Genomic DNA, 20,868 nt, shown 5'->3' with positions numbered 1-20,868 from the left:
GCTCCTTTTTTATGGTCCACTTTTACTTTCTACTGTGTATTTGTTGTTTATGCCTATTTTTTTGTGCTACTAGATTATTTCCTATCTTAAGGGCTATCGGGTGTGTGTCTGATTCATCTGTAAGGCCCAGGACTCTTATCACAGTGCCCTTCACCAGTATGGGTTGAAAGAATGAATGGTACAGGTAACCATTGCTGAGAGGCACAAGAAAAGAAGGGAAAGCTCAGTTGAGGCTGAGCTTAACCAGGGATGGCTGCTTCTTGTTGAACTTGTACGACCTTTTAGTGGTCTGAGGTAGGTAAGACTTCTTAGTCCAGCCACAATCTGCAAGTTACTTTTGCCAGATATCCTTGAACTAGATTGGTAAATGAGAATCACAGAGAAAGGTTGGTCACCAGCAGAACACAGTTAATCCCTGCCTCCACCTGATTGTGCCGTTCAAAAATTATTTTCTCTACCTGGGATATTCCCCCCTGATCTTTGTGTGGTTAGCACCTTCTTCACTCATCTCACATATTACTTCCTCAGAGCAGTTTCCTTTCCCAGCTACTCCATCTGAAATCACACCCCTCCATAGCACAGCACCCAGTTGTATATATATTTTTTAATTTTAAAATTATTTTTTAATACATAGAAACAGAGTTGCACTCTGTTGCCCAGGCTGGAATGCAGTGGTGCGATAATAGCTCACTGCAGCCTTGAGCTCCTAGGCTCGAACAGTCCTCCCATCTCAGCCTCCCCAGTAGCTGGGACTATAGGTGCATACTACCATGCCTGGCTAGTACCCCGTTTTCAATAAGCTTCTAAAACTGGTATTTGTATATTATTTATCTTATCCCCTTGGATTGTAAGCACCATGAGTGAGGACTTTGTCTTGTTCTCGTCTCTCTCTCTCTATACACACGCACACGCACACGTGACTGTAACAGTGCCTGGTGCACAATAAGGGTTCGACTATTTGTTGTCTTAATGAGTGAATTAATCATGTCCAGAACTGTTTAACAAGAGAGTTTTAGGGGAGATGATGGCATATAGTTGAGGCAACAAGAAAGAACATACACTCCGAGCTTGATTAAATGGATTCCTTTTAAGATGGTTTTTTTGGTAAAAATGTCTCATGGCAGGCTGCCTGGAATATCTGATGTAATGATGTGTTTTCTTAAACTACATTCACATCTTAAAAATGTACATATCAAAATACTGCAATCTGGTTCCAATTACAATGAAGTAAATTGATGTTTAGTTTTGCTAAAGCTTTTACCATTGACCAGAAAAGCTTTGTGAAAGATGTTTGCTGACTGTCAAGTACTTCATGTCTCAGAACAGGTTTTTTAAAAAAATAACAGTTTCACTGAATTATAATTCACAGACATGCAAATCACCCATTTAAAGTGTGTAATTCAGTAGTTTTTAATACATTCAGTTATATGCAGCCATCACCACAGTCAATTTTAGAACATTTTCATCACCTCAAAAATAAATGTGTACCCTTTAACTATTCGCCCTAGGCAACCACGAATCTGCTTTTTGTTTCTGTGGATTTGTCTTTTCTGGACACTTCTTAGAAACGTAATTATATAATATGTGGTCTTTTGTGACTGTTTTTTTTTTCACTTTGCATAATGTTTTCAAGGTTGATCCGTGTTGCATGTATCGGAAGTTCTTATGGCTGAATAATATTTCATTGTGTAGATAAACCACATTATTTGTCAGATAATAGACATTTGGGTTATTGCTGTCTTTTGGCTATTATGAGTGTTATAAATATTTGTGCACAAGTATTTGTGTAGACATGTTTGCATTTCTCTTGGGTATATACCTAGGAGTGAAATTGCTGGATAATATGTTTAACTATTTGAGGACTGATAGACTACTTTGTAAAGTGGCCAACATGAGTAAGTTTTCATCACATTTATAAAATGTTAGTGTACTTACATTAGCTTGCAAAGCATTTAATAAGCAGCAAGAGTTAAACCACGTTGGTCCAAGTGAACTGAAAGCAGACTTCTGTGTTACATGTGTATGAGTTACTGAACATGTTCCATAATACAGGAGTGTGAGCACACTAACAGGTAAGTGCAGGAAAACAAGAAGAAATATTTTCAGAGTATAGTCAAAAGTACACTGAGCATGGGAGAATTGTTTTGACATTTTGCTCAAAACTATTTCTGAAGAAAATTCAACATTTCTTTCACGGAAAGTTTTAGGAACAGGTAAATACAATTATATAAAGTACTGGTAGAATATGTTCGTTCAGATGACCTTGAAGTGTTTTTTCAGACTTATCTGAACTTGAGATCTGAACTGAATTTTTATTAGAAACTGTTAAAGCCTCTGGCATTGAAGGTTAGTTCATAATTGGTGAGTTCTGAATCACTTCATTTCCTGCAGTGGTTCCTGAGAGAATCTTAGTTCAAAGGACTGCCCCCGCCAACCCCTGCCCCGCCAAAAAAAAAAAAAAAAAAAAAACTAACACTAAATAACTAATAGGAGAAAGTTGGCGTGTCAACATAAATATTCAACTGAAAAGCAAAAGGCTAAGCCTGGCACCTAAAACTTGTTTCAACACTTTCCTCTGCTGTAGATTCGATGAGGGAGCAGGGAGTGGATTGTGAAATTTCCTGCCATTTACCTTGCCCCAGGACATGTACTGTTCTGTGGGTATACATATTTGTAGCGTAACAACAATTCACAGTTGAAATTTCAGATGTATGTTAATCATAGCCTGATATTAAACAACATTCATGTTAGCAGTAAATTTAGTCCTCTGTCCCCTCACACCCTTCCCCGCCATTGATTTCTGGTAAGCCAGTTGACTCATTGCTTCTGTTCTTATCCTGTTTTCTCTTTGCCAAGTGTATGTGCAATTTGTTTATTCAGAGTTCAAAATTGGTATAATTGTGGTTTACTCACCCAGTAATTTTTAATTTTGTATTATTTAACCTTACAAGAGAGCTAATTATAGTGAGGAATCGGATTAATTTTGTAAGATGCTTGCCATCAGTATGAAGTTATCAAGTATGAAGTTATCTATTGTTATTGTTATGACATTAAACAGAAAGTAGCAGATGACCAAAGTGATTTTGGCTTCCTGCATGATAGCATCTTTTTTTTTGCATCCCTTCCTGCTCTTCCAGACAGCAGTGACAGAAGCTCTGAGAAACATAAAATGTAGCCAAGGGGATCTGGATTTCCATTTCAAAACAAATTAATTTTAAGGACTGATAGGAGAGTTCATTAAGCCACAGGTAGCTTTTTAAGCACTCTTCTATTTTCCAGTTTTCCTTTTTTTCTCCAAAATATATTTTATCTGTAGTTGGCTTATCACCCTGCACTCCTGGGGGCCCAGGTGCCTTCACTGCGATACAGCTTTAATCTCTCTCTCATCCCACCCTTCTGGACCAGGCATGCTTGATCCCTGCAAATGTGTTTCTCTCTCCAGCTTTCATTTTACTCATTCTTTGACTGCCTTCGTAAATTATTTATATGATGGATTAAGTTGTAGGCTGGGCACGGTGGCTCATGCCTGTAATCCCAGCACTTTGGGAGGACAAGGCAGGCGGATCACCTTAGGTCGGGAGTTCGAGACCAGCCATAACCAACATGGAGAAACCCCATCTTTATTAAAAATACAAAATTAGCCAGGCGTGGTGGCGCATACCTGTAATTCCAGCTACTCGGACAGCTGAGGCAGGAGAATTGCTTGAACCCGGGAGGCGGAGGTTGCAGTGAGCCCAGATTGCACCATTGCACTCCAGCCTGGGCAATAAGAGCAAAACTCCATCTCAAAAAAACAAACAAAAAAAAAAGTTGTGGAGAAGTGAGGTGGAAGACAATTTTCTTATGAAATTGGGCAGTTTACATTTTCACTCTTAGGGTTGCTAGCCAGTGGACTAGATACTTCTACTCTTATTTTGCTGGAGAGAAAAATCAACATTTGGGAAAAGTCTTCCCCTAGAGTTATCTGGGGAGTTAGTAACAGGCAAATAAAATTGACTACAACAGAAGGAATACTTCAAGGACTTTGAGATTAGGCAAGAGATACAAATTTTTTTTTTTTTTTGAGACGGAGTCTCGCTCTGTCGCCCAGGCTGGAGTGCAGTGGCACGATCTCAGTTCACTGCGAGCTCCGCCTCCCGGGTTCACGCCATTCTCCTGCCTCAGCCTCCCGAGTAGCTGGGACTACAGGCACCTAAAATTTATTTTACCAGGCATTTAGAAATTTAAAATACAAATTTAACACTTATCCCATCCCCTTTTCAGTTAGATAGTCTGTGAATCTTCCCAAATAATTCAGATTTTGGCAGAAGGTATATCTTAAAATAATGCTTTATGCTGGATTAGTGCATGCTGTTTCCTAAACATTTTAGTGTAACTACACAGATAAGAAATACATGTATGTGTCTTCATGGATGATTAATTGGCCAACTACTATTTGAACAGCTTGAGAACTTCAGTATTGATCTGTCCATGTTGAATCACAAACGTCATCCTGCCTTTGGAACAGCTGGATGTCATTATTTGTAGATAGAGGCCAAGTAGAGCAATTCTGTCCAGTACTATTGGGATAATGTCACCTGTTGTACATAATAAAGAAATGTGCTCAGTTGTGGATTTGCGCTTCAACAGTGCTTAGCTAGCTCCGTAACCAACCTTCTTTATCTGTCTGCTTGGAAATCTTCAGATGAGGTGTATGTGGCTCAGGAGTCTAACTAGTTATATACATAAAAATGGAGTCTTGCTGGCTTTGAACAACTTAGTGGACATTCATTAAAAATACCACACTCACTGGTGGTCAGCTTTAAAACCATGGGGTGGTCCAGGCTTTTTGGATCGTGGGACATGAGCCAGCCAGGGTATGGCTCTGAAAGACAGCCACAGCTATGCTCTACTTTCGTAGGGGCTCTGATTTTAGGGCTTGTTTCATTCTTGATTATATGTAAATGTAACCTTGATTTGTTTTATCTTCATTCACTTACGATTACTGAGTTATAAAGTCTTCCCAGCGTATGGACACTTGGCTTGTAATTGCAGGAAGTTACCTCTTGTTATTCTTTTCTGATATTAACAACTAAATTATTGTCTAGTAATTACAAGCTTGAATAGCGAGTTTTAGTATGACAGCAAGACTATCCAGCTAGCTAATTACACATTAACTGCCCTCATTTCTGGAAGGTTAATAACAAATCCTATTACCATGTTTTAGCTTACAAGCTCTTAAGGTAAGCAGGGTTATAAGGTTTGAACGAGGATGAATTACCTCTAAAAAACACCCAAATAGACGAGAATTGTTTTGAGATTGACAATGCAACAAGAGCAGTGTTTTTGATGAACAAGAGCTTGTTTTCTTCATTGTGATCTATGCAGTAGCACTTATTTTCTTCTGCAACTCTCTGAAGTTTAAATATGTTGGGGGGAAAGGGGCTACAATTAGGCAATGAATGGGAAATTACCTTTTAAGCGGGTTTGGAATGCTTTAAAAACAGTCTATGTCCTGTAACTACACACCTCAGTTTGGTGGCCTGGTAGCCTGGCCCTGAGCAGAATGTGGCTGGTTTTCCCAGTTTCAGCACCCTGCATCCATCTGTCCATCTATCTTTTCTCTTCTCTTTTCTCTTCTTTCTTTCTTTCTCTCTCTCTCCTTTCTCTCTCTCTGTCCCTCCCCCCATCCCCCTTCCCTCTCTCTCTCTTTCTCTCTCTCTCTCTTTCTTTTTTGAGACAGAGTCTTACTCTGTCGCCCAGGCTGGAGTGCAGTGGCGCAATCTCGGCTCACTGTAACCTCTGCCACCTGGGTTCAAGCAGTTCTCCTGCCTCAGCCTCCCAAGTAGCTGGGATTACAGGCGCCTGCCACCGCACCTGGCTAATTTTGTGGTTTTAGTAGAGATAGCATTTCACCATCTTGGCCATGCTGGTCTTGAACTCCTGACCTCATGATCCACCTGCCTCGGCCTCCCAAAGTACTGGGATTACAGGCGTGTGCCACCACGCCAGGCCAGCGCCCTGCATCTTTCATATTGCCCTTTCCCACACAGCACAGGAACACCTGTTTCTAGCTTTGAATACTTAAAAACCAAAATGCTACTACTGAGATTTAAATGTATTTATCATGTATGTTGCAAACATTCTTTGAGTGTTTGAATTCCTACTAATTGTTATTTTTTTCTTTTTTTTTGAGACAAGGTCTTGCCCTGTCACCCAGGCTGGAGTGCAGCGTGGCTCACTGCAGCCTCAACCTTCTGGGCTCAAGTGATCCTCCTGTCTCAGCCTCTCAAATAGCAGAGACTACAGGCATGCACCACCACATCAGGCTAATTTTTTATTTATACTAGAGATGGGGGTGTCACTATGTTGTCCAGGCTGGTCTCGAACCCCTGGGCTCAAGTGATCTGCCCACCTGGGCCTCCCAAAGTGCTAGGATTACAGTCATGGGCCACTGCACCCAGCCACCTTTTTTGAGAGGTGGGAGGAGGGAAGAGTTTGGTGTGTTTTTTAAGCATCCCACTTCTTTTCGGAGGTGTTTTCACCTGTTTCTGTTTTTTTATTTTGTTTTGTTTTGTTGCCTGCATGGCCCTCTTCATTAAGACTTTATCTTTTAAAGATCCCCATGGGCTAATATGAGAAGATATGTGAATCTGCTGAGCTTAGACTTTTTATATATTTTCTCCACACATGAGACCCTCTCAGTCAAGTAATTGTATGAATTCTTTAATATACCTTTTAGTATTTGGTGGCGGGTTATATTATCTTAATTGCAGCTAGTTAGCCTTCAGTAAACTAGGTGCAGCATTGTGAGCCCTGTGGCCAGTTGGGCCTGAGCCACAGCACTGCAGGAAGTCTGGTGGGTTGCTTCAGCTCTCCACCTGTGTGCCCTCAAAACAGGTGGAGAAATGGGCTTTTTGTCACTGAAGTTGAGTTCAAATTAATTGTTTTATTATTTTATTTTATTTTATTTGAGATGGAGTCTTGCTCTGTCACTCAGGCTGGAGTGCAGTGGTGCAATCTTGGCTCACTGCAACCTCTGCCTCCTGGGTTCAAGCGATTCTCCTGCCTCAGCCTCCCAAGTAGCTGGGATTACCGGCGCCCACCACCAAACCCGACTAATTTTTGTATATTTAGTAGAGACAGGATTTCACCATGTTGGCCAGGTTGGTCTTGAACCCCTGACTTCAAGTGATCTGCCCGCCTCAGCCTCCCAAAGTGCTGGGATTACAGGCGTGAGCCACTGCGCCCGGCTCAAATTAGTTATTTTAGAGAATATTACTTTTAATCTCAAAACTGTTTCTTTGAATTCTGCCTGCCTATCCGATTGGTTTTACTGAAGTTTTCCTTGAGGGGCTGTCTGTCATCTTTTAGGGCCCTCTGTTTGCAAGTTTTTTTCAAAAATAACAACTGCTTAGTTGTGTGCAGTGTAGGACTCTTTATAGGTTTTTGACTACTCTTCTTTTCTTGTAGAATTTCACTGTCTTTTAATGTTTACAGACTGCAAGCAGGATAAAATTAAAAATTCAACCATTATTAATATTGCTGCTTTGTAGGAGCTGGTAAAGGAGTAGAAGGTAAAGATCTATTAATTATAGTGTCTAATACACCCTTGAGGAAAATCTGTTAACTCCAAATTATTAAGTACCTAAAGAAATCTGGAGATCTTAATTTATTTGCCCTATTTCAGGCCTTACCAAAAAAAAAAAAAAAAGCTACCTGGTTTTTGTGCATATAGTAGATACCCACCACCACCACCAAAAATAATTGTGGAATGAATGAGATTTCATGGTTGGCTTTATTTTGGGCACATATTGTAAAATTCATGACTTGCGTGGCAGTTCATGACGAATTCAATACAGTTCCTAAAGTCAACCAATGGAATTTTGAAAGGTCAACAGCTGCTTTTCTCTAGTAGTCAAGGATGTGAATAACTTGGGTGAAATTCCCAGGAGTTTCAACTATAATGACCAAAAGTTCAGGGGAAAGAGATCTATGTAAGTCACAGAGGGAATCATCAGTTCTAGACAACAATTGACTTGTGATTTTTGTCCATGTTTTCCTCTAGGTGTGAACAGGATTTTTCTTTCCTTTCCTGTCAGCCCTGTTCCTTATTGAATTACAGAACAGATAAATACCTTAGACAGTAGTGACTATCCCTGTGATTTTCGGCTTGGAAAGCCAGGAGTCCTCCTCCAGAGGGAGAGGGATGATGAAAGAAGTTTGGATAGCATGCTTCTGGAGGATGCAGAATTTTGATTGGCAAATAATCATTGTACATATTCATGGGGTACATAGTGATGTGTTTTTTGTTTTTTGTTTTTGTTTGAGACAGAGTCTTGCTCTGTCGTCCAGGCTGGAGTGCAGCAGCGTGATCTTGGCTTACCGCAGCCTCCACCTCCCGAGTTCAAGCAGTTCTCCAGGTTGCAGAATTTTGATTGAGGGCAAGAGGAACTTATTGTTTGTGGGAAATGACCTAAGTGATTGTTTTAAGGAAACTTTCTCTGATTACAAAGGCGAGAGTATAGAGCCTTTAAGGCCATTTAGTAGATGGCTGCCCTGATCCAGGGCTGGAATGATATATTGGTTTTGACATAGTTACATGCCAGGGGAAATAAAAGAAAAACTAGAGACATTTCTGGGAAACTGAGTGAGTACATGGAAGAAAGGAAGAACACCTAGCCAGATTCCTTCCAGAGGCTTGGAGCCTGAGAGCCAGGGCGTTAGAGTCAACCTACTCCCTTCATTAGGTGAAGGGAATGGGTTTTCAGGAAAATAATCTTAGACATGTAAAGTTTGATAAGACTACAAGACTAGACATATGAAGGACCAGTTATATGGATTTGGTAGTTACCAACATAGACTTCTTATTTTTCTTTCTTTCTTTTTTATTTAAAGAGACTGGGCCTCAGCTGGGCATGGTAGCTCACGCCTGTAATCCCAGCACTGGGAGGCCAAGGCGAAGAGGATCACTTGAGCCTTGGAGTTTGGGACTAGCTTGGGCAACATAGAACTTGTCTCTGGAAAAAAAAAAAGAGAGACTGGGTCTCACTGTGTCATCCAGGCTGGAGTGTAGTAGTTGTGATCATAGCTCACTGTAACTTCAAACTCCTGGGCTCTAGTGATCCTCCCTCCTTAGCCTCCTGAGTAACTGGGATTACAGGTACAAGCCACCACACCCAGTAGACTTATTCCTTTAAAATTGTAGGATGGCCAGGCGCGGTGGCTCATGCCTGTAATCCCAGCACTTTGGGAGTCTGAGGTGGATGGATCACCCTGAGATCAGGAGTTCGAGACCAGCCTGGCCAACATGGCAAAACGCTGTCTCTACTAAAAATACAAAAAATTAGCTGGGCGTGCACCTGTAATCCAGCTACTCTAGAGCTTGAAGCAGGAGAATTGCTTGAACCCAAAAGGCAGAGGTTCCAGTGAGCTGAGATTGTGCCACTACACTCCAGCCTGGGGAGATAGAGCGAGACTCCAGCCTGGGGAGATAGAGCGAGACTCCGTCTCAAAAAATAATAATAATAATAATAATAATAATTATAGGATGACGGCTTCCCGGGGTAACAGTGTACAAAGCTAATTCTTAAAATGCAAATGCCACAGAATTTGAGCCGCTGTGCAGGATGCTGATGTCTTTCCCGATAAGTTTTTTGTTATTTGTTTTTAACAGGATGTTGGGCTTCTGGGGGACAGGTAGTAGAAGGAGAAAGGGGATGGGGTAAGTGGGATTGAGAACGGAAGAATGGCTTTGATGGTTCTTGGCACTTGGCACCACTTGGTGGTGGTTTCTGAGTTACAGCATGTATTTTTCAGTATTAAGTCCGAAAAACAAATGAAGAATATTTAGGTAAAAGTCTCCAAAATGACTGCCTGTGTGCTAATTGTGGTTCCCAGTGAGGCAGAGCATGTCAAGGTTTGGGTATCCACAGGATTTTAACCTGCAGAAAGCAGTGTATATTACATTTTTTTTTTGAGTGGGGGGTGGTAGAGAGAGGGTCTTGCTTTGTCACCCAGGCTGGTATGCAGTGGCATCACAACATACTGCAGCCTCGACCCATCCACCTGCCCCTGACTTGAGCAATCCTCTCACCTCGGCAACTACTGAGCACCTACTCTCCTGAGTAGTTGGAACCACAGGCACATGCCACCATGCCCAATTATTATTATTATTATTATTATTATTATTATTATTATTATTTTGTAGAGACCGGATCTCCCTATGTTGCCCAGGCTGTTATTGAACTCCTGGGCTCAGGCCGTCTTCCTGCCTTGGCCTCCCAAAGTGCTAGGATTACAGACATGAACCACCTTGCCCAGCTTGAAATTTTCCATTTATTTCAAAGGAAATAGAGGAAAAAGAAATAACTTGTGGTCACTGGTTCATAAATAGCCAAGAATAAAACATGAGATGTGTGATTCATCCCCTCTTGTGTTTTCTCCTTCAAGCCCTGCACCATTTCATTGTGAGTCACCTGGAATAGGGCAATTTTACTTTAAGAATTGGTACATTTTTTTCAGTGTAACTCTTTTTAATTAATACATATTCTTTAAGGGATACAGGTAGCTGAAATGTCTACCCTTTGAGGATGTCATATTTGTATTAATAGTTTAGTTCTCTGGTGCAATTTGAAGTATATCTTATAGTCACTTTTAGTAATGTGTGTTACTTCCCTGTAAGGAATAGCAATGTTATACTTCTCCTTTTGCAGTGAAGAAATTGAGATGTAGAAAGGAAGAGACCTGCCCAAGGTCAAAGAGCAAGGCAGTGGAAAGCCTGAGATTAGACTTGTGGTCTTTTAGATTTTTCATCTGTTGTTCACCACTGAGGAGCCAGCTTTCTGTTTGCTGGAGACAGTTCAGCCTAATGGAATTTTCTCTGCCAGATGTCCACATTGTGTTAGGTGATGATTCTAACCATCCTCTAATACCCATTCTCCTCCAAAGTGGCCCTTTAGTTCCCCTCCAGAACAGATCTGCTTTTGACTGCCTGTGGTTTGGCACACCTCTGCCTAGAGATAACAGTGGTAACAGCAGTGTGCAGAAAAGAAAGTGGGAAGGGTCAGGGAATGTCACTAAACCAGAGTCGAGCTGTTAGAGGTGAACATTTTCTTGCAAAAAAGAACCTACGAGCAAATGGCCCTTTCCTTCCCGTCTATTCTTTGGGGATAGGGGATCATGGGCCAGGTAGTATTTCCTGTGCATTTTGCACACAGATGTCTGTATCACACACATACAGATCCCATCCAGTCCTAAACCAGAAGCCCTGGGGTAGGTATGAAGCTGCAACCTTAGGATGCTAAGCAAGTTTTTGGAAAAACTCCACAGGTAATTGTGATGGACAAGCAGGACCTAGACTTAGCCCAGAACCACTGCTCTAGACTAAGTGATGCTACTTTTGATGATAAGTTGTTTATGATTTGGGAGTCTCACTCCATTGCCCAGGCTGGAGTGCAGTGGTACAATCTCAGCTCACTACAACCTCTGCCTCCCAGGTTCAAGCAATTCTCCTGCCTCAGCCTCCCAAGTAGCTGGGATTACAGGTGCCCACCACCACGCCTGGCTAATTTTTTGTATTTTTAGTAGAGACAGGGTTTTGCCACGTTGGCCAGGCTGGTGTGAAACTCCTGACCTCAGGCAGTCCACCTGCCTCGGCCTCCCAAAGTGCTAGGATTACAGGCATGAGCCACTGTGCCCAGCCTGTTTTTAAATAGTAAATATGAATATAAATTATATGCCTAAACTGAGATATGAGTGTTATAATTTTAACATTAATGTAAGATCAGACTGAAGAGTCAGTGCTAATGAACCACATTTTGGTTCTAATTGAGTCTAAGGCAAAAGTAAGAGCTGTTTGCTCATCATAAACCATATACTCAGGAATCTTGGGACTTCCTTTAAAAGTTAAGACAGGCGGAAATGGGGTCGGCTGACTGTACTCTACAGGTTTAGGTCAACTGTATCTGGCTCTCTTCCTTTAAAAAAATTGAAGGTTAATGTTTTTAGATAAAGATCTTTGAACTGACACATTTTTATCGTTATTATTATCGACACATTTTTATCGTTTTATCATTAACAAAAATCTAGGGAAAAAGTGTTCTTTATTTTTCTACAGATGAGTATCTTTATTTTATTCTTGATTTATAGTTTTAGTCTTCTCTGCCAGTGTATTTATCTTGAAAGAAGACTTTCTGCACATCTGCACATTTGAGAGATGCTCCTTTCAGAAGCACCCTTAGGAGTAATCACTGTGTTAGCCACTTGCAGGAAGGCCTTATTGCTTTAAGATGGCAGAGCCATCACATCCTGGCCTCCCGAAGTTGTCATCTTCACCCAAAACTGGGCCTCATGTGTTTCCTTTTCTGCTCTTCTGTTTTACAGGTGTGACTCAGCACTTCTGTAAAATGGATCAAAAATGTGTTAATGCAGGAAGACGGTAGATACAGGAAGGAAGAACCAATAATTAAGGGTTCTTTTATTTGTTTGGAACAAATTCATAGGCAAAGCCTTTTATTGGTAGCTTGAGGAAACTTAAAAGTAGTAGGAAAGGGTATAAAATCTCTTTCTGGGACACGCTAAACTCCTAGTTTTATAACACGTTGTCTGTGATATTTCTCTAGCCCTGAAGCACTTCTGAACATTACTTCAGAACATAAAACCTATGCTTTGTTTTTAAAGGTTTTCGTTGTTATGTAATAGCATCCAGCTGCTAATCCTTTTGAGCAGCACCTGTAATAATAATATGGCAGGAGGAGCCTTCCGTTCGCTGTGTGCAGGTGTCTGCGGGTTACCTCCTGCGGTGGAGCTGCATGAAAACAAGCACACCGTCTCTGTGAATAGCCACAGAAACATCTGAACGTCCTTTGCTTAGCATGCTTCTTTGCACTTGTGAGGGATTCTTTGGGGAGGAGGGTGATCATCTCTGATCCATGGATTTAGCTTCCCTGCCAGCGATGGTATGCGATTTTGACCCAGAGACATGGGGAGCTTGTGCCTTCGTGAAATTTGCGGCAGCGGCAGTGTGTGTTTTATCCATTAACAGAGGCAGCATAGTGGATGAGCTCAGGTTTGAGTTCCTGATCCATACTTAAGCTCTGTGTGCCTCAATTTCTCCATCTGTAAAATGGTGCCTACCTCATTGACTGTAGTGAAATTAAGAGTGTATATGCAGACCATGGAAGAGTTCCTTGCTTGTAGTAAGCACTATGTAAGCATTAACCTGCCATTACTGTTAATATTACTGTTAATGGGCCGGGCGCAGTGGCTCACTCCTGTAATTCCAGCACTTTGGGAGGCCGAGGCGGGCAGATCACGAGGTCAGGAGATCGAGACCATCCTGGCTAACACGGTGAAACCCCTTCTCTGCTAAAAATACAAAAAAATTAGCTGGATGTGGCGGCGTGTGCCTGTAGTCCTAGCTGCTGGGGAGACTGAGGCAGGAGAATGGCGTGAACCCAGGAGGCGGAGCTTGCAGTGAGTGGAGATCACACTACTGCACCCCAGCCTGGTTGACAGCAAGACTCTGTCTCAAAAAAAAAAAAAAAAAAAAATTACTGTTAATGTAACTATTGTTTAACTTTTCCCTGCTATGGGATCACATTCAATTGTAAAACTACTGTTTTTTGTTTTTATTTTTGTTTTTTTGAGATAGAGTTTTGCTCTTGTTGCACAGGCTGCGGTGCAATGGCGCAGTCTGGGCTCACTGCAAACTCCACCTCCTGGGTTCAAGCAATTCTCCTGCCTCAGCCTCCCAAGTAGCTGGGATTACAGGCACCTGCCACCACACCCAGCTAATTTTTGTATTTTTAGTAGAAACGGGATTTCACCGTGTTGGCCAAGCTGGTCTCAAACTCCTGACCTCAGGTGATCTGCCCATCTCAGCCTCCCAAAGTGTTGGGATTACAGTTGTAAGCCACTGCGTCTGGCCTGTAAAACTGAATTTGCTTACCTTTTGGCATTTTCTACCACTGCCTTAATAACTCACCCACCCAAGGATAAAGATAAGAAAATAAAAACATTTTCAGACTTTTCATGTTTTATTGGATATTTCAAACATATGCCAAAATAGAAAGGACATATTTACAGGAAAATGTTATTTTTATTTTATTTATTTATTTGAGACAGGGTTCCACTCACTTGCCCAGGCTGGAGTACTGTGGTGCAATCTTGGCTCACTGCAACCTCCACCTCCCCAGGTTCAAGCAATTCTGCCTCAGCCTCCCAAGTAGCTGGGACTACAGGCACGCGCCATCACACCCAGCTAATTTTTTGTATTTTTTAGTAGGGACAGGGTTTTGCCATGTTGGCCAGGCTGGTCTCGAACTCCTGGCCTTATGTGATCCACCCACCTTGGCCTACCAAAGTGCTGGGATTACAGGTGTGAGCCAAAAATGTTGATTTTTAAAGGCAAAAGAAATGTCATTTGAAATGTGAAAAGTAGAAGTTACACATCTATTGCCTTGAGGTAGCTTTTTAAAATGTTTGTCTTATGCATACACACTGTACATAGTTGTAATTCTAGAAAACATACCATTTTATGGCCTTTCTCTACCCAGCATTCAAGTATAAGCATTTTTTTCATTGAAAACAAATAGTTTTCAATGGTTTTGTACCATAATAATTGTTTCCCTTTTTAAAAAAATTGTAGATAAAACATTGGTGAAAATCTTACTGCAGATAGTTTGGGGGTTATATAGGAAGGTGATTTTTGTTTTGCTTTTTTGATTAGGAGTGTCAGGATTTCTTTCGTGGTACATGAGAACCTTACTATAAAGTGGCTCTTTAGGACCGTTCTGAAGTCAGCCTTATGAAGGTGAAATAGACTCTGATGAAATCACCCCAAGTCTGTGGCTTTTGTTGTAAGGCAGAGCTGCTCTGTGTCAATACCTGGTGTGTGAGAACAGGACGTGGTAGCTGTCATGGGACCCTCTAGCCCATCATTCTCTAGACCTGCACTGTCCAATACAGGATCTACTAGCCATGTGTGGTTATTTAAATTTAATTAGAATTAAATAAACTGAAAATTAATTTCCTTATTCACACTGGCCATATTTTGAGTGCTCAGTAGCCACTTATGGCTAGTGGCTATTGGTTTAGGTGAGCACATATAAAACATTTTTATCACTGCAGAAAGTTCGGTTGAGTAACACAGCTCTAGATTAGTCTCTAACTGCTCAGCTTCTTAACCTTACAGTGATAAGAGCCACCTCTTATAGGTAAGATTTTCTAGAGCAAAGTTGGGCAGACCTTGGGTACTTGTTTTTGTATATGTAGTTTTATAGGAATACAGCCACATCGATTTGTTGACCTATACTTTGGCTGCTTTTGTGTTACAGTGGCAGAGCTGAGTTTTGAGTAGTTATGACAGAGACCATATGTGGCCTGCAAAGCCTAAAAGTATTTGACCCTTTACAAAAAGGTTTGCCTACCGCTTTTATCTAGATCAGGGTTTCTTAACCTCAGCACTGCTGACATTTTGGTCTAGATAATCCTTTGTTGTGGGGCTGTCCTGTGCATTGTGGTGTTTAGCAGCTTCCCTGGCCTTCACCCACCGGATGCCAGTAGCACCGCTTAGATATGACAACCAAAAATGTCTCTAGACATTGCCAAATTCCATGGGGAGCAAAATCACCCTTGGCTGAGAACCACAAATCTCAAGCAATGTGGCTTGGCAAAGCATTCATCTGTAATACTGCAAAGGAGCGCCCATTGTTAAAAGCAAAATTGGTTGAAAGAGCTGACTAAATTAATGAGTAGTTTTTTATGCTACTTAGTATACTTCAGCATTGTCTCCAGAAACAGGAATGTTTTATATAAAACATGACAAAGCAGCTGGAGTGGGGCAGAGACATGGAAGCATTCTCATGTCCTTCCATTTCTCAGGGGTGCTGCAGTTCACTGAGGAGCAGAGTGTGGAAGTTACAGCATATCTGAGCTATGGGGTGTGTGGGTTGTGTTATACCCAGGTTCTCAGGGCCTGCTTTTCTAAAACGCTGGGTAACTGCAGGTGTTTGTTGTTTGCTAACTGTGTGTAGATATCATCTGTGTATGCCTGGCAAGAAAGGAGTTAATAAATGTCACGTCTATAATCCCAGCACTTGGGGAGGCCAAGATGGAAGGATCTCTTGAGTCCAGGAGTTCAAGACCAGCCTGGGCAGCATAAGGAGACCCTGTCTCTATTTAAAAAAAAAAAAATTAGCTGGGTATGGTGGCACATGCCTATAGTCCAATTTACTTGGAAGACTGAGGCTGGGAGGTTGGCTTGAGCCCAAGAGTTTGAAGTTGCAGTGAGGTATGATCACACCTATGCACTCCAACTTGGGCAACAGAGTGAGATCCTCTCTCAAAAAAAAAACTTTTTTAAATAAATAAATGCAGTAGATTGGTGCTTATCTGTCTTATGAATATTTGTAGTCTTATGTGGTCCATATAGATTCCTATCCTCATTACCCAGAATAATTGAAAAATTGGTTATATTTACCTCCATTAGAAGTTGCAAGAATTGAATTAAATGTCAAGTCCTATAAAATTGTGTTCAAGGCTGAGCGCAGTGGTTCACACCTGTAATCCCAGCACTTTGGAAGGCCAAGGCTGGCAGGTCACTTGAGGTTAGGAGTTTGAGACCATCCTGACCAACATGGTGAAACCCCGTCTCTACTAAAAATACAAAAATTAGCCAGGCATGGTGGCAGGTGCCTGTAGTGCCAGCTACTTGGGAGGCTGAGGCAGGAGAATCGCTTGAACATGGAGGCAGAGGTTTCAGTGAGTCAGGATTGCACCACTGCACTCCAGCCTGGGCAATAGAGCAAGACTCTGTCTCAAAAAAAAAAACAAACAAAAAAACCCCACAAAAACTGTCTTCAATTCTTTTAAGACCCAGCATCTGAATACCTTTCAGAGTGGGGGGTTTTGTAAGCTGTAGAAAATGGCTGTGTGAAATAGCCATATAAATAGAGTGAAATAGAATTGGGAAAATTGTCCTTCAAAGTGAATGTCAGGTATATCTTTATCTCGTTCTTCAAATTAAAATTAAAATGTTTAAATTGGTATTGAAATGAATGTGTAATACAAGTCACATGTAATAGAGCACACTCGTATGGAGAATCATCCCCGTGTGAATATCTAAGAAGGTAAGCAGCTTGACTACTGAATGCAAGTGAATTTTAGGTGAACTTGCATTTCCCATGTGTGACATGTTTGTTTGGTTTTTCAGATCTTACCAATATATTTGAGTCCTTCCTGCCTCAGTTATTGGCCTATCCTAACCCCATAGATCCTCTCAATGGTGACGCTGCAGCCATGTACCTCCACCGACCAGAAGAATACAAGCAGAAAATTAAAGGTAAGAGGATGGGTAGTTTAACCTGGAGACAAAAGAACTTAAATCTGTTGGGCTTCAGTCATTAAAAGTCCTTCTTAAATTACTTAGTTCCTAATACTTTTTCTTAGGCCTAAAAAGAGACAGCTGTGGGCTGAAGTAGTGCTCACCAACCTCGGGTGGCAGTAGCACCAGTTTGCTCATCCTTTGCGATTTAGAATCCTATTTTCCCATCCTTAAAACAGTTTACGTGCTGATGGGATATGAGTTTCATTTAAATGAAGATAAGTTTGCGACTGGCCGTGGTGGCTCACGCCTGTAATCCCAGCACTTTGGTAGCCCGAGGCAGGCGGATCACAAGGTCAGGAGATCGAGACCAGCCTGGCCAACATGGTGAAACCCCATCTCTACTAAAAATACAAAAATTAGCCTGGTGTGGTGGCACGCGCCTGTAGTCCCAGCTACTCGGGAGGCTGAGGCAAGAGAATCGCCTGAACCAGGAAGCAGAGGTTGCAGTGAGCCTAGACTGTGCCATTGTACTCCAGCCTGGGTGACAGAGCAAGATTCTGTCTTTAAAAAAGAAAAAAAATCTAAAGCTCCACCTGGGTTCATTGGATTTTCCATTTTACCTCTGTGTATGTTTCAGAACTTTCATAGTGAAAAGTCTAGATACATGAAGCTCCACCAAGAAGCAAAGGAATTCAAAGTTTGTGAAATATACCTGCTGCTTTTAACCAATGGCAGGCATTAGTATCTAGCCAGTTTTTCACATGATGGGCCTATCTGCATAGCAGTCCAGAATGTTTGCTTCCTCAAAATGTGTGGCCTCTCTGAGGTACATTTGCAAGAGGTGGCAGTAGAAGTAATTTACCAGAGCTTGAATGTGCAGGTCTTCACTCTGAAATGTGCAGGTATGAGGCAAACAGGGACTATTCATGAAACAATAGCTTTTCTTCTATTTGTTTTCTAATTCTTCTTCCAAGGTCTCTATAGGGTATTGTTTGGAGCTGTTGTTGAGATAAAGCAGAAATAAATTTACTATAATTAATTAGATCTCAAGTGCTTTGCAAATTAATATCTAATTTATGTAGCAAAATATATAGCTAAGCAAACATGTATTTGAAGAAAAAGGCAGTCAGTTTCAGCCAGATAAAGTGCTGTTATGAGACTATATTAAAATTTTGACATAGGAATCACTTAGCAATGTCTGCAAACCACAGATATCTTGGAGCAGAGTATATTTCTCTAGTTCACATATGCATTCTGTCTCAACAATTTAGCAGTAGCCCTGTTTCAGTACATGTCTGCTATAGTCCCATTTACAAAAAGAACCGAGCCTACATTTATCTTAGAATGGCTCACTCCAGCGTACGGACCCCTAGCCTTCGGAAATGTTCATGTTGGCTATCATTTTGTCTTCCTTAGTAATCTCAGAAAATCATGGCCATCAGACCTGAGCTCACCCCCACTTCCTACTGTGCCTTGATATCTTCTCCCTTCCCTCCTGCATCTTTTCTTTGTTCCTAACTATAGGAAATAAATAAGAGACACCCTTCCTCATTTCTCAAACTCACTCCCACCACCAATCTGTGATCTTGTTCCCCCAACCCCCCGCCCCCTCCCAATGCAGTCTTCCTCCTCCACCCCATCAGAGGTCTCCCTGTTTCAGGAGCAGTGATCTGCTCCTGTGGGCTCTCTTAGGAGTCATGCTGTTTATTCCTTTTCATTTTCAAACTTCTTGCGTCCTCACCTTAAACTCCTCTAGTTTTTTTCCCCTCCTCTGCTTAATCTGTGCCCTCATTTCTTCCCAATCCTTTGGACTCTTCTCAAGTCCCATTTTGCTGGACCTTTCTGCAAGTGTTACATTTTACCCTCATCTTTCTGGAAACTTCTCATTCCATTTCCTAAATGTGGTCATTCACTTAGGACTCGGTCCCTGGGCTCCCTCTCTTCCTTTGTCATCCCTGAGGAGCTGTTTCACCTCTCACAGCTTCAGTCAGTCCCCTCCAGGGAGATGATTTCTGAATGTGTGTCTAGGCCTGGCCTCTCTCCCAAGCTGCTGCTGGACATTTCCATTTGTGTGGCAGTCACCACCAACCCAACACAGCTAACACAGTCAGTGTTCATATTTAGTTGGCGCTGTATTATAGTACATGTTTGAAAAAGTGTTTAAATATTGGATAGCCCGTAGCACTGGGCACCATTGGAGCTGTCTAAAGCTGTCACTTCCCTGCTCAAAACCCTTTGCTGGGTGACATCTTTGCCTGCCATTCAGGGCTCTCTGATACTGAGTGGAATCTACATCTTTGCCCTTACTCCTTTTTTTTTTTTTTTTTTTTTTTTTTTTTTTTGAGACGGAGTCTTGCCCTGTCGCCTAGGCTGGAGTGCAGTGGTGCGATCTCGGCCCACTGCAGCCTCTGCCTCCCGGGTTCAAGTGATTCTCCTTCCTCAGCCTCCCGAGTAGCTGGGATTACAGGCATGTGCCACCACATCCAGCTAGTTTTTTGTATTTTTGTAGAGATGGGGTTTCACCATGTTGGCCAGGCTGGTCTCGAAGTCCTAACCTCAGGTGATATACCCGCCTTGGCCTCCCAAAGTGCTGGGTTTACAGGCATGAGCCGCTGCACCTGGCCATAGTTCTCTCTTAAGGTTGTGTTTAAACATCCCAGCCACTTACTTTCAACAAAACAAAGCCTTTCCCTGGAGTGGCCTCTCCTATGCCATAGCTGGCAGGACTTGGGGGTCAGTGTGGCTGGGACTGCCTCGGCCGTTTTTCGTCCGTAACTGCTTCCCTCTGGTGACACTCAGCAGCTCCTTTTATCTTCCTCTGTTTCCTCCTCCTCATTGGTGACCTTGCTCTTCCTTTCTCTCTCTCAAAGGCCTTGTCCTAGTAAGTACTTAATATACATTTGTTTCCTTGAATACATTAAAGAGGGCTGATAGTATCAAATTCTAGTGTCAAAAAAAGGTCAATATTTATCTTCTACAAAGGAAGACGCAAAATAGTCAACCCATTAGAGGTTAAAAATAAAATTGTTAAAGTTTGAATAAATATTTCTCAATTAAGGTAAATTCCTACCTAATCATGGGCTACTTTAATCTCATCAAAATCATTAGCATAAAATTTTGTTATAATGAATTTGAAGGGCTCTAAGTCTCAAGTCTGCAAACCTTTTCTGTAAAGGACCACATTGGCCAGATGTGGCCTTTATCACACATTCTGTTTATTATTTTTTAAGACAGTTTTTAAAATATAAAAACATTCTTAGCTAGGCCCTGTGCTAGTTATTCAAATCTGGTAGGCCCATTTGGCCATTCAGCTTATCTTCCTATTGCAGTGAGTCCCCGCAACTCTATAGGAGGAAAAACAAAGCCACAAGGGTGTGTTTTTGTGTGGCTTGCATTTTGAATAGGTTTCTGTCATGTCTTTTCCTATTGTGTGGAGGCTGTTCACTTGAAAACAGTATGCACTTAGAGTTTTTAGGAACAAGTTTGTTTATTCAGCAGTTCTTAAAAGCCGTTTCAGCAGTCTTATTCAGCCTAGGGTTCCACCAAGGCTGTAGCAGCGG

The 20,868-nt window shown here is 41.7% G+C and overlaps 1 protein-coding gene across 4 annotated transcripts in view, besides 4 other annotated features; it reads left to right on the top strand.

Moving 5' to 3' along the window:
* UBE2H (ubiquitin conjugating enzyme E2 H) overlaps window positions 1–20,868 on the top strand; it is a 122,229-nt gene that overhangs the window by 96,431 nt on the left and 4,930 nt on the right. For all 4 annotated transcript variants that reach the window (NM_001202498.2, NM_182697.3, NM_003344.4 and 1 more), the window contains one exon: window positions 17,195–17,323. In NM_001202498.2, coding sequence (NP_001189427.1) covers window positions 17,195–17,323 — 129 coding nt within the window. The remainder of the gene's footprint in view (window positions 1–17,194; window positions 17,324–20,868) is intronic.
* Window positions 12,217–13,043: an enhancer, noted in NCBI's record as "OCT4-NANOG-H3K27ac-H3K4me1 hESC enhancer chr7:129483327-129484153 (GRCh37/hg19 assembly coordinates)". NCBI's record gives its function as "activates a minimal SCP1, AML or CMV promoter by ChIP-STARR-seq in naive H9 embryonic stem cells {active_cell/tissue: H9 hESC(naive)}" and the evidence as "EXISTENCE:reporter gene assay evidence [ECO:0000049][PMID:30033119]".
* Window positions 13,044–13,870: an enhancer, noted in NCBI's record as "OCT4-NANOG-H3K27ac-H3K4me1 hESC enhancer chr7:129482500-129483326 (GRCh37/hg19 assembly coordinates)". NCBI's record gives its function as "activates a minimal SCP1, AML or CMV promoter by ChIP-STARR-seq in naive H9 embryonic stem cells {active_cell/tissue: H9 hESC(naive)}" and the evidence as "EXISTENCE:reporter gene assay evidence [ECO:0000049][PMID:30033119]".
* Window positions 17,033–18,232: an enhancer, noted in NCBI's record as "CDK7 strongly-dependent group 2 enhancer chr7:129478138-129479337 (GRCh37/hg19 assembly coordinates)". NCBI's record gives its function as "activates an origin of replication core promoter dependent on BRD2, BRD4, P300/CBP, MED14 and CDK7 cofactors, with strong dependence on CDK7, by STARR-seq in HCT116 cells {active_cell/tissue: HCT116}" and the evidence as "EXISTENCE:reporter gene assay evidence [ECO:0000049][PMID:35650434]".
* Window positions 19,940–20,475: an enhancer, noted in NCBI's record as "NANOG-H3K4me1 hESC enhancer chr7:129475895-129476430 (GRCh37/hg19 assembly coordinates)". NCBI's record gives its function as "activates a minimal SCP1, AML or CMV promoter by ChIP-STARR-seq in primed H9 embryonic stem cells {active_cell/tissue: H9 hESC(primed)}" and the evidence as "EXISTENCE:reporter gene assay evidence [ECO:0000049][PMID:30033119]".

Source organism: Homo sapiens, chromosome 7, assembly GCF_000001405.40.
Source record: "Homo sapiens chromosome 7, GRCh38.p14 Primary Assembly".
NCBI classification, from domain to species: Eukaryota; Metazoa; Chordata; class Mammalia; order Primates; family Hominidae; genus Homo; species Homo sapiens.
This window is presented reverse-complemented; position numbering and strand designations above follow the sequence as displayed.